General features: G+C 41.4%; 1 protein-coding gene across 12 annotated transcripts in view, besides 4 other annotated features; it reads right to left on the bottom strand.

Moving 5' to 3' along the window:
• The window catches only part of RAD51B (RAD51 paralog B), an 863,318-nt gene that overhangs the window by 381,039 nt on the left and 469,155 nt on the right, over window positions 1–13,124 (bottom strand). For all 12 annotated transcript variants that reach the window (NM_001321818.2, NM_001321809.2, NM_001321821.2 and 9 more), the window contains one exon: window positions 10,078–10,174. In NM_001321818.2, coding sequence (NP_001308747.1) covers window positions 10,078–10,174 — 97 coding nt within the window. The remainder of the gene's footprint in view (window positions 1–10,077; window positions 10,175–13,124) is intronic.
• Window positions 6,350–6,459: an enhancer, noted in NCBI's record as "active region_8601". NCBI's record gives its function as "activates an Ori minimal core promoter by ATAC-STARR-seq in GM12878 lymphoblastoid cells {active_cell/tissue: GM12878}" and the evidence as "EXISTENCE:reporter gene assay evidence [ECO:0000049][PMID:35858748]".
• Window positions 6,350–6,706: a biological region, named in NCBI's record as "Sharpr-MPRA regulatory region 2571".
• Window positions 6,412–6,706: an enhancer, noted in NCBI's record as "tiled region #2571; K562 Activating non-DNase unmatched - State 5:Enh". NCBI's record gives its function as "activates a minimal TATA promoter and a strong SV40 promoter by Sharpr-MPRA in K562 cells {active_cell/tissue: K562}" and the evidence as "EXISTENCE:reporter gene assay evidence [ECO:0000049][PMID:27701403]".
• Window positions 6,912–7,206: a silencer, noted in NCBI's record as "tiled region #10624; HepG2 Repressive DNase matched - State 5:Enh". NCBI's record gives its function as "represses a minimal TATA promoter and a strong SV40 promoter by Sharpr-MPRA in HepG2 cells {active_cell/tissue: HepG2}" and the evidence as "EXISTENCE:reporter gene assay evidence [ECO:0000049][PMID:27701403]".

The raw sequence follows: 13,124 nt of genomic DNA, 5'->3' as shown, positions 1-13,124 counted from the left end.
TTTCTCACATGGTTCCCTGAATTGCCTATTGCCATTCATCATACAGTATTTATTAACATCAATTATTTATTAACTATTATTGTCAAGCACTTTTCTAAGATGTGGAGATCCAGCACTGAACAAAAGTGACAAAAATTCCTGCCCACAAGAACTTACATTCTGGCCAAGCGCAGTGGTTCACTCCTGTAATCCCACCAATTTGGGAGGCCAAGGCAGGTGGATCACTTGAGGTCAGGAGTTTGACTAGCCTGGCTAACATGGCAAAACCCCATCTCCACTAAAAATACAAAAAAATTAGCCAGGCGTGGTGGTGCATGCCTGTAATCCCAGCTACTCAGGAGGCTGAGGCATGGGAATTGCTTGAGTGTGGGAGGTGGAGGTTGCAGTGAGTGGAGATCATGCCACTGCACTCCAGCCTGGGCGATGGAGTAAAAGTATGTCTCAAAAAAAAAAAAAAAAAAAAAACACACAAACAAAAAAAAAACCTCACATTCTAATGACCCTAAGACAGGACTTTCTGCTGGTTTACCTTAGTTTTGTAGTATCCAGTCAAAGGGCAAGAGCTGTTTCCCTCAGTTCTAGTTTTGTCCCTGAAGGAGGAAGAAACTTCTTCCTGGCTGGCCTTGGATCCACCCCTTGGTCTCTGGCAGCCACTTATCGACTGTTGTTTGTTTTCTGGGGTCTACATTGAAAGATTTCAATTGCTTATTCTATCTCTGGCCTAGAGTCCTACTCAGAAGGAATTTATTTTGAGGCTTTTCTAGCTTCATTTACCTAAACATCATATTTTAAAACAAAAAAACATTTGTCTCCTTAAACCTGTCCACTGGATTTCTTTCATCCTCTATAGCTGGAGATGACAGTGCCAGGAAATGTGATTACCTTAGCTGCTTTGATGAGCCTATTAGATGGAAGTATGGTTAAAAAAAATCAACATCATAACCTAAAAAGGCCTTCTATTAAAGACGGGAACCTCCACCTTCAACACACACACATACACTGCACATATACACATATACATTTGCTTTTAACCCACAAAACTCAGACACTCCCCTGAGGGTAGAGAGTAATTTTGCTCTTGTATACCGTAAATCATGAAAAGGATGTAACTAACAGACACAGAGTTCTCCACTGCACATATTTTAGTTATCCAGCTGCCCTCTTGTCTTCTCTGGCTTCCCTTGCTCAAGCAGTGGATAGATCATGGCTGACCATGGGGACAGCCTGCGCTAGCTAATGTGCCTCTGTTATATGTCCCTGAATATGAGGTAACTTATACATGGTTAAATTTAGGCCTCATATCTCACCAGATAATAATAGTTTAGAGTAGCGAGTGGATTCTGGATAAACAGAAGAGACGTCTCTCCCCTCCTGAAGACAAATTCAAAGGCTGATTATTGGTATAAAGAAAATTAGATCAAGGAGGAGCCAGGTTACCTGGGGCTAAAAGAAAATATTTTTACATTTCATTTTTAAAACAGTATATTGGCTTGATGGCATGGACTAGTGATAGGTAACTTCTATCAAAATTTTTATTTGAAAGGAGAGCGCTGGGCGTGGTGGCTTACACCTGTAATCCCAGCATGTTGGGAGGTAGAGGCAGGAGGATTGCTTGAAGCCAGGAGTTTGAGACCAGCCTGGGCAGGATAGCAAGACCCTGTCTCTACAAAACAAAACTGAAAAAATTAGCCAGGCATGGTGGTGCATGCCTGTAGTACCAGCTACTTGGGAGGCTGAGGTGGGAGGATCACTGGAGCCTGGGAGGCCAAGGCTACAGTGAGGGCAATGGAGTGAGACCCTGTCTCTAAATAAATAAATAAATAATAAATGGAAGAAGGAGAAGATGCTGAGAATGAAAATGACTAAAGGGGTCAACAGAGCTACACAGTCCTACTTAACAAACTTATAATATCTGCTCAGCTGGACAAAGTCCTTCTATTAGATGTTATGTTTGGGTATTTACCTCCCTTCAAAAGGAATCTGTCCTTCATATATAGCCCCTTATAAGAAAATGCCCCCCATCAATGGACCCTGCTGAAAGGATAGGTGTACTGGCCATCTTCTTTACTGTTATGGCTGAATGGATGAAAAGGCAACCCATGAACACAATTACTAGGTGTGAAAGATAAAATGGGTCAATTAGATCATAAAGTCAAGTGTCAGTGTCATGGAAAGGCAAGACAGAGATGAGATAAATGAAGAGAATAACCTAAGTTTCAACCTTCCCAATACCCATGTGATCTGGCTGTCTTTTAGTTCCTATTTATACATAGTCATGATAATCTCAATTGTATCCTTACAAAAGAGCTTAGTGGATAAAAATGTACCTCTGGAGCCAGTCTCCCTAGGTGGAAATCCTGACTCTGCCACTAATTGTGTAGCCTTCTAAGCCCCAGTTCCTTCATCTACAAAATGGGATAATTAATACAGTTGTCCCTCAGTATCTGCAGGGGAATAATTCCAGGGCCCGCTGCAGACACCAAAATCCATGGATGCTCAAGTCCTTTATATAAAATGGCACTGTATTTGCATGTAACCTACACACATCCTCCTGGATACTTTAAATAATCTCTAGATTATTTATAATACCTAATACAGTGTAAATGCTATGTAGATAGTTGTTATACTGTACTGTTTAGGGAATAATGACAAGGAAAAAGGTCTGTGTTCAGTACAGATGCAATCATCCATTTTTCCCCTACTATTTTTTGATTCATGGTTGGTTGAATCTATGGATGCAGAACTCATGGATAAGGAGGGCCAACTGCACTATCCTCAGAGGGTGGTTGTGAGGACTAAATGAGATAATAAACATACGATGCCAGGCATACAGTATATGGTCCATAATGTGTGTATTAATGTGCCCCCCAGGTGATTCTGATGTATGCTAAAATTTGAGAAAATGGAATAAAGGTTTTGGTAGAGAAACACAACCACTCCATATCTTCGACTGAAGAACAGCCCTCCTCTATCTGGGGAAGATAGAGGAGGGCTGTTCTTTAATTAAACATGCAGTTTTGGAAGGGATAGATATCAGAAACTAGTTCGGAACTCAACTGGACCCTCCTTGGGCTAGACTGCCTTGCTAGACCTTGTTACGATCCTTTTCCAAATCCCAGTAAACATCGCAAATGCATTCTGAAGACGCTTCATGCCACATTACAACACAAACTAATCGTTGGGCACCACCCCTAAAATCCAGCCATTCTTTTCTTCTTTATGATCTCTGACCTAGAGGCCTCTCGCCCTTGGTATAGCATTCTCTGCAGTGATGGAAAACAAGGATCTCTTCTCAGAGAGTCCTTCTAACTTGAAGGCCTCTGGGATCACACCACCTCTTGGCATCCCATTCTCTCGGCTTTTGGCCCTGTCGTCACCTCTCTAGCTGAGGCAACTGACAAAGATGCCTTGGTGTTTTTGTCCCTCCAGCTTTCTTGACATTGAGACCTTAACAGAAACAGTGCAGATTTGAGAAATTAGACAGTAAATTCTAGACGGTAAAAAGATTTGAGGGTGAGGGGAAACTACTTTTAAAGCTAGCCCAACTCCCACACAAACTACCTCAAGGACTGCTCCCCAAAGAAACCTCTCTGGCTCTCATCTAACTTGATTGTAATGCATCTTGTGCTTCAAATGTGCCTCCTTTTGACAAACTAGCACCAGCAAAACAGAGCTCCTGACCAAGAAGCACTTCCTGGTGGTTGACTTTAATGTTCCCTTTCTCCTTTTGTTCTCCCAGCTGAGGTTACATTGCCCCCTGGCCTCCAGGCTGAAAATCCTCAACACATTCCTCTCCCTTTTGGGATTTACAGCTTTTCTGACATTTGCAGGCTGTGCCCATCTCCTCTCAACTCTAGCCTCCCCTACTCACATAATATTTAAGCTTTCTTTAGCCGAATACCACACATTTTTTGGTGCTTTTAATCTTTTTCTATAAATCAGGCCTTTCATGGCATCTGAACAGCTGCTGGAAGACATATGCCCAGTCAAGTGCTATGGACTCCTGAATACCAGGGAAGTAGAGCACTGGCCGGCGTGTGCCCTTGTGAATAGAACCATGTAAAATCGTGTGTGTTGATATAGTCTATGGCTTTGGAAACAAAAACTGAAAGGTCACCAGGACACTTAAACATTTTTATCCAAAACTCACTCCTAAGAGGCAGCAGTAACCAAATTTAAAACTTCACGGGAGGGGCTCTGACTTCTGTTCCCAGCACACCAGCTCTCACTGTGTGGCCTTTCAGCAATTCTCTTCTCTCCTTCATGCTTCAGTTGCTTGAGGTAGATTAAGAAATTCATCATTTTAAGACAATTAAAAATACTATGGAAAAGCTAATGTTAATAATGTTGATCATAGTTGTTAATATTAACTTTGTAGTCACATGGTGACACCTTAGGCTTTCAAAGTACTAATTACAGCCAACTTGCACCATACCCCCAAGGAGTGGATTTTTAAAACTACTCCACTCATACCCGTTGGTACATGGCCCTACACAAACCAATGAACATTTAGTCTGAGATTGGGCTGTGAAGGGCCTTGGAGCTAAAGCATGTAGAGATTTCTGCTAACTTGACCAACCCACCCCAAAGTCTGTGGTTAATGGATTACAAATTTGGGTAATGCAGGACAATAAATCATAACTATAATAATAAAGCTGAAAATACACACAATTTAAGTAGAAACACCAGTGTTTTTTATCGGAAATGAAAGAAACCATTGATCATAGCAACTGTCTGAGATTAGCAGGGAGCCACATTTTCAAACATCCTGCAGTAAATCCAGAGCAGATCCAGCTGGAAAGCAAGAGTGGAAATAAGACTTGAAAATTCATACCGCGCTTTGAAGTTTGCTTCTTTCACAACCATGAGTCTCTGATTTGTCCCAACCATTCTGAGCTGTCTTGCTTGTTGAACTTATTTTAAAAGAGAACACAAGCCACAAACTTGCATATAATCTTTCAAATGGACTCCAGCTTTTCGCAGGGATGGTTTGGTAGGGAATATGAATCCCCAAATACTTTCTCTTGCACATGAAATCAGCCATCAATTCCCCTGACTCCAACCAGAATAGAAAGCCTTCCAACAATAAAACTAGAAACCACTCTTGGTTCTAGGAAGTGCTGCTATTTCTCTTGTGTTCTTTCCTTGACCTATCCACACATTTTACATTTTTAGTTTTCATGTGCTATGGTCTATCGGAAAACAAGTAATGCAGAAAACAGGATACAACATGCCAGATGCTGGGAATACCAAGATGGCAGCCTAATAATGTCTTCTTTTCCATAAAGCCATGTGGAACTCCTGAAGTGGGCCATGTCACCATAATGAAGTAACTGCTACTCTGTTAAATCGTCAGAAGAAAGCAAGCCAATGGTCTATAGCTTCAATCTTGCACAGGGCTCACTGTTACCATTTGTCAAATCTCACCTACCAACTGTAGGTGGGCACTCATCTGGTTCTGCTCAAATCCCAGGTGACTTTGGAATAGGATATGGCATCTTAGGCCATTTGGACTGTTAGATCCCTTCTCTATTAATCACTCTGGGGGAAAGAGATGTTACCTATGACTGAGGTCCAACAGTTCTTAGTATCTCCAATGACCATAAGGAAGAATTGGCAAGGGCTAAGAAATGTGTCCTTGGCCACACAACAGTCACAATAACTGAGCAGGGAACTCTATAATAACCTATATGTCTGAACTTCTGTCAATGAAATGAAATCTGAAGAAGAAAATACTGTGACTCAAAGTACCTAGTCTAGAACAATGTAGAAAAAATCCTTATTTCTGTCCCTATCTCTTCTGTTGAATGACAGAGTGGATACTAGAAGATTGCTACAGTCTTTTCCAGCTCTAACAGTTAAGATCATAAGGAGGGCCTGAAGATCAGAAACATTCACCCAATGATAGGGTTTAATTCTGATTTACAGAGTGGGAAAAATGACTGTGTTGTTGATGTTGCCCTAAACACAACAAAAAGGACCTTCAGAAATCTTAGCATTGGTACTCTGGCATACCTGCAACAGTCTCCCCTTCCTGTATTGCTGTCTCTTTCTCACTCTGTGTACACTTCAGATCTTGTCTCTTGCTCTCTCTGCCTGTCTCCACACAAAGGTATACAAAATCAGAAGTGTGTGCAAACCAGTGAGTATGAGACACACACTGGGATTTGGGGGCGGGGGGCAAGGTCTACCCTGTCCTGTAATAGATTTCAGCTGCAGTGCACAGTACACTGCTTAAACAGTGCTCCCTTGAAAACAGTTGTGAGGTGAGAACAAGCAGCCAAGAGCAGCCAGCGATAAAATGATCTGAGTTGACCTAAGAGGAGTAGTACGCAGCAGGGGCTGACTCAGGGAAATGAAGTCCCTTCTGCTCTGATGCAGAGGAGGGAATACAAGTGACCTGGCCCAACCGAGAGATCTCTTCCACCCCAACAGATCCTGTACTATTAATATCTGCCAGCTGCAGGCCCAGAGCATCCCCCTGCTGAGATCAAAAGAGCTCCTATCTTAGCTGGAACAAGGTCATCTGCACAGGGCTGTAAAAAGCGAGCCCTGGCTGGCTGCAGGGACGTCTATGGGGGAGGAGAAGTCAGGAGATGGGAGGTGCTCTCTCACGCTCCTTTAATCTCGGCTGACCAGCTGTTGCCCTCCCAGTGTTTGTAAAGTTGAGAGTTCTTTGTTTTTGTGTTGCTGGGTCTCCCCGCCCCACCACCCTTATTAAATTTGTGGCTGAGTTGTTGGCTTGGATTAAGTAGACTCATGTTCACTGCTTGACATCATGGTATAATTCCCTTCATTGAGGTTTCATTCCACTGTTGAGTTATCCAGCTCCCAGGTGGGAGAGCCAAAGAAGGGAGAAGTACACCCCAAGGGCCAAGGACTTTCCCGGCATTGCTCCTGCCCCTGAGCTTTGTGCCTTGAGAAGGAATGAGAGGGCAAACTGAATTTTCTCTATTTACTTAAAATATCTCCTCATATTTGCAGTGTGCTTGTCAATTTGCAGCCTGCCTTTCACAAACTATCCCATTCACAAACTATTGGGAGAATGGAACTTTTGGAACTTATGCAAATTGACCAGTCACCCCATCCCAGTGTGTTTCTCATTCTCACTGGTTTGCACACACTTCTGATTTTGTACACCTTTGTGTGGAGAGAGGCAGAGAGAGCAAGAGACAGACAGACAAGACCAGAAGTGTCCCCAGAGTGACAAAGAGAAAACATACAGGGAGGAAAGGCTCCTGCAGGTATGCCGAAGTATCAGTGCTAAGATTTATTAAAGATCCTTTTTATTGTGTTTAATCTAGGGCAACATCAGCAACACGGCCATTCTTCCTACTCTGTAAGTCAGAATTAAAACCCCATCAGTGGGTGAATGCTCCTGACCTTCAGACCTACCTCATGATCTTATATGCTAGAGCTGGAAAACACTTTAGCAATCTTGTATTCTTCCAACCTGTCATGTAACAGAAGAAACTGAGACCCAAAGTCATCAAAAGGGCCTGCCTAACACCACAGTTAATAACACAATGGCAAAGCTGATACAATGAATGCTTGAAGCAAAACAGAGCAATTTATACATGCGTGTGCATGTCTGTGTGTGTGTAAATCACAGGAACTTAACATCCATTGTAATATATTTGAATGGCTATAAATGTTCTAAGACATTGTTCATTTTAATCCACTAATAAAAACCTTCATTATAGACTATAGGAATATATTTATATAGCCTCTTTATCTGCTCAGCTATACAAAAAAAAAATCTAGAAAAATCAATTATTTCCATTCTTTGTTGGATTTCTGGGAGGATAACCTGGTAACTCTTCCTTTGCTATGAACACAAGTCAGGGGTTTCTTGTGGCAGTTATACTGCAACCCTGAAGCAATTTCTTTTCTATGTGTTTTGCTCTTCTTCTTTGCTTAAGATAAACCAGGAAGGCAACACAAATAAAAGTACTTACTGATTTTCAAATAAGGAAGCAGTTTACTCTATTCTGGTCTCCTCAGAGCTGAATTAAGTGTGTGTGTATATGTGTGTATGTGTGTGTGTAATAATTATAACAATTTTTAACAATGTTCATAGGTGCTTTATATGATTCTCATGGTCACTGTTCTTCTGAAGTATTTACTGTGATATTCATTCAGCATTTATTTACTGCCTAGTATGTGTCTAGAACTTTGCTAGTCACTGGATAACAACATGGATACAAAAAGAATATGACATGGTCGTGTCTTTAAAATCTGCCAATTTAGGCAGAAAAACATGAAAAGTTAAATTAATTTTCTAGACTTTTTCTTTATACAGTTGAGCAGATAGAGCGGCCACAGAGGAAAAAGAGACTGAGACCATAGGCAAGCAGGTTCTGTGAAAGAGGCAGTCTTTAAATAAGCCTCGAAGGAGTGGATGTGGGACGAGAAGCAGAAGAAGTGAAAGGGGGAAGCACTGTTCTAGGTGAGCTGTCTCTGCACAGGCCTGGAGCTGGGAGTGGGGAGGGGCAGGCCAAGAGTGGCACACTTGGCATAGGAGCTTCACCTAAGATATCGGCAGGAACTAAATTTGAATAGAAAGGAAATGACAGATTATGAAGGGTTGAAATCATTCACTTTATCTAGTGGTGTTTTGAAAACCAGTCTACGCAAAGGGAGGAAATAAAAAAACAAGCCACCTGATTTTCAGCATTTGCTGATTTCCATGGTATAAATACTTTCACCATGGCTGATTTCAAGCTAACAAATCCCAAATCCCTAAATATGTTAAAATCAGCTTACTGATTTTAGCTCATTCTCAGAAAAAACAAAAACAAAAACAAAACAAACAACAAAAAAGAAACAAACAAAAAAAACTATTCTAAGATTTCTGAGTAGGAGAGCAACAGAGCAGAACAAGGCCAGACGGGGAAGTTCAATTTGGTAGTGGCAGAATGGAAACTGTAGAGGCTAGAGCTGGGAAGGCCAATCTGGATGTTATTAAAATAATTCAATTGGGAGTTTAGTAAATCTGCTGATCACAACACACATTACAAAAAAGAGGGGACAAAGGAAAGATACATGCGGAAAGAAGTACTAAGCAGACTTGATGACAAAAGTTTCAGGAGGGAGGAATGCTCGATGATTCAGGTTTTCAGCCTCGCTGATAGGGGTTATGATGATGTATCCCTGAACTTGGAAGGAGCGTACACAAAGCATTGTACAGTTTTCATAAATTAGCCACTAGTTTTCCCTCCTAAAGCCACCACTAAGAAGCAGAGGTGTGGTTCTTGCAATTTCTAAGACCATAAAGCAAAGCTGATCTGCAGAAGATCACCTGGGCAGCCATCCAGGAGCCTTGCTAGGCCTAAAAGTCTCCTGTATTCCTTCATGAGCAATTCTCAGAAAGTGGAAAGGGAGGAGGGGCCTGGAAGAGCTATGCATGTCTACCCAGACCCACAGCATTCTGCATGAAAGATACTAGACTACAAGGATAACAACTCAGAAATGTCAAGTAAGCACTTTCAATAAAACTAGAAACCACCCTCTGGTTTATTGGTGTTATTTCCCCAGCTACGTAAAGCTTATTGCCATCGAAACCATAGCCAGCCTGACCTTTGCTAGCAGGGGAGGGTGGAGAAAATTTTGCAGATTTACCAGCGTGGAGATTTTTTTCTTAATCTTCTGTAAAGCTGATCAGGAATGTCATATCTCTGGCACATGAAACTGATGTACGCTTTTTAGTCCAAAAGAACTCAGCACAAGCAAAAGGCTAAATTGCTAGGGGACCACTGGGAAAGCCAACCTTTGAGTATCAGTCTCAAAAACAAAGTCATTTAACAATTCATCAGCCCTCATACTAAGGACTTGAAATAACACACAGAGGAGTGACTGGCCTCCAAATGGAGCTCCCTTATAGAGGCAGGGCAAAAGACTCCCCAATATAAGAGATCAGATGCCAGGAAAGGTGGCCAAACCTAAATCAACAGGCTCCGGCTGGGTTCACTGGCCAGGGCCTATTAGCCATATCTCCCAGCTCTCAACAGGAGGTGGAGAGGCAGTGGGGCTCTATGTCAGTGTCAAGTTTCAGCCTCTCCAGGACAGATTCCTTACCTTCAGACAGGGACAAATCATCAGCTGGAGACACCAGGTCTGCCTGAGAAGCCAGGGCTCCACTCAGATGGGTTGTAATCTGATTCGTCAAGATAACCTGTGAACAGACAGGGAGAAGGGGTAGGGGGCAAGGGAGAAGAAAGACAGGGAAGACCAAATTAATTATTAGAGCTATCAAAAGGCAGACTATGGTTTAGGAGAAGACTGATAAATACACAGGTAGCAAAACCCCAGCCCTGACTTTCACCAGCTTTATCTTTAGGCCAGAATTATCTGGCAAGGCCTAGCAGTTATTCAAAACCCAGAAAACTGAGGAAATAGACTGACTTTTTTCAGAGTAAAACCTCTATCAATTCATTCTAAATGCTGAGTAAGTTGGGACTGAGGGGTGTTATCATATTGGTTAAATAATAGGCAGCTAACCACAATTAAATGCACATGTACACATTTTATCAGACTTTAATTTTTAAAGTTATATCCACCAGGCACAGTGGCTCATGCCTGTAATCCCAGCACTTTGGGAGGCTGAGGCAGGCGGATCACCTAAGGTCAGGAGTTTGAGACCAGCCTGACCAAATGGAGAAGGCCAGTCTCTACTAAAAATACAAAATTAGTCAGGCATGGTGGCACATGTCTGTAATCCCAGCTACTCTACTCGGGAGGCTGAGGCAGGAGAATCGCTTGAATCCGAGAGGCGGAGGTTGTGGTGAGCCGAGATTGCACCATTGCACTCTAGCCTGGACAACAAGAGCGAAATTCCATCTCAAAAATAAATAAATAAATAAAAATAAATTAAAAACAAAATAAAATAAAATTGCAACCACAACCTAAGATATTACTGGTGTTGAATACAATTAATAATTTAAAATTTGGGGACAGGCACAGTGGCTCATGCCTGTAATCCCAGCACTTTGGGAGGCTGAGGCGGGCGAATCGCCTGAGGTCAGGAGTTTGAGACCAGCCTTGCCAATGTGGAGAAACCCTGTCTCTACTAAAAATACCAAAAATTAGCCGGGCATAGTAGCAGGCGCCTGTAGTCCTAGCTACTCAGGAGGCTGAGACAGGAGAATTGCTTGAACCCGGCAGGCCGAGGTTGCAGTGAGCTTAGATCGTGCCATTGCACTCCAGCCTGGGCAACAAGAGAGAAACTCTGTCTCAAATAAATAAATAAATAAATAAATAAAAATAAATAAATAAAATAAAATTTGGATGCCTGTGGCTTCTTTGCTTGTTATCGTTAAAAGTCAGAGTTTTATTTCCAAATTTGTGATATAGGAATGAATGAGTTTGACTCTAAAGAAATAACACTCCTCTTTTAAATAGTTAAATTCTAACATAAAATTCTAACAAAAAAAAGTCCAAAGTCTCACTGTGTATTTAAGACACAAATGAGCATAATCCTACTTATACAAAATAAAGTTCATAACATTTAAGATCCCTGGAAAGGACTCTAATACTACCTAATTCATGTGGTCGAATGCCACACAAATTTTCAAATTTGGTATAGTCAAGAAACTATTCCTAAAAAATTCTCATTTGTAAAACCTACCTTATTGTTTAGAAGCCTAGAGGAAGAATAAATACAGATTCTTTTCTGGAAAATTATAACATAATGAATACCACAATCATTTTCCAAGGTTTAGATGTTCTCATCGTGGGAAGAAACTATGAGCATCTTGGTCACTCAGAGGCAATGTCCCTTCTGAAAGGGGCACTAGGCATTTAGTGCACAATTCAGTGCTTGGAATATTTGTCTAGCTGGACTGTGCTGGTCTGAAACAAGGGTCAGCTATGGTTTTGTTGCTACCCTGATTTGAACAGAAATGGAAGTTGCCTCCATTTTTTATTATCCAGCTTTTCAGCCACACCTCTGTCACTGTATCCTGAATGGACCAGTGACACATTATAAATCCTATATCAATGGCAGCTTAATTGAGGGCTGAGAGGGACCGGGACGGCAAGGTCAGGTAAAGAAATGAATTACTCGAGTAGCAAAGACAATCTTTTAAGTTCTGTGTGCCCACTGGGCTTGTGAGTCTCCAGTCACTCTGCAGCAATAATCAGATATTGCAGGATTCCACTCAGTATTTGCTAATCTTATCTCTCATATTCTTTCGTATTGCTACTTTCCATAGACTGGTGAGAATCACCTAAGATATGTCTTCAATTAAAGTGGCTGGAAATGGTCAAGTAGCCTCCTTGAAATAACTGTTCAGCTCTATGAGTATAAATAAGGAACTGTGTTCATTGCTCTTTTTTTTTTTTTTGAGACAGGATCTCACTCTGTTGCCCAGTCTGGAGTGCAATAGCGTGATCTCAGCTCACTGCAACCTCTGCCTCCCAGGTTCAAGCATTTCTCCTGCCTCAGCTTCCCAAGTAGCTGGGACTACAGGCTTGTGCCACCATGCCCGGCTAATTTTGTATTTTTAGTAGAGATGGGGTTTCACCATGCTGGCCAGGCTGGTCTAGAACTCCTGACCTAAAATGATCCACCCACCTCGGCCTCCCAGAGTGCTGGGATTACAGGCATGAGCCACCATGCCCGGCCATTTCTCTTTTATAATATAGGGTATGAGCTTTGAAGTTCAGTAAAACTGGGTTCAAATTCCAATTTTGATCCTGTGTACCTTTGAGCTTCATTTGTTCATAGGTAAAATAATATCTATCTCATAGAATTTTTATGAGAATTAAATGAGACAATCAATGTAAGATACTTAAAGTATCTGACACATAGTAAATATTCAATAAATAGAAGCAATTGTTGTTATTGTTATTATTTCCTTCAGAATGAGCATATACAGGTTAATAAATTAGTATATGCCATAGGCTCCAGGCAGTTGGTTCTAACAATAGAACACTAAATCACAATTTTCTATATCAGGATATACTTTGGTACCTGATCATTTCTACCTATTTTAGTCCTTCCTAAGTTTTATTTAATTGCAAAGAATTTGTGTAAAAATCTTAGTAAGAAAAATATAGTCATTTAAATCAAGGCCAATAAGATACTGACATTGCTCTGAAAATACTATGTGCTTTATCTACCA

This window comes from Homo sapiens, chromosome 14 (genome assembly GCF_000001405.40).
Source record: "Homo sapiens chromosome 14, GRCh38.p14 Primary Assembly".
Lineage (NCBI taxonomy): Eukaryota > Metazoa > Chordata > Mammalia > Primates > Hominidae > Homo > Homo sapiens.
This window is presented reverse-complemented; position numbering and strand designations above follow the sequence as displayed.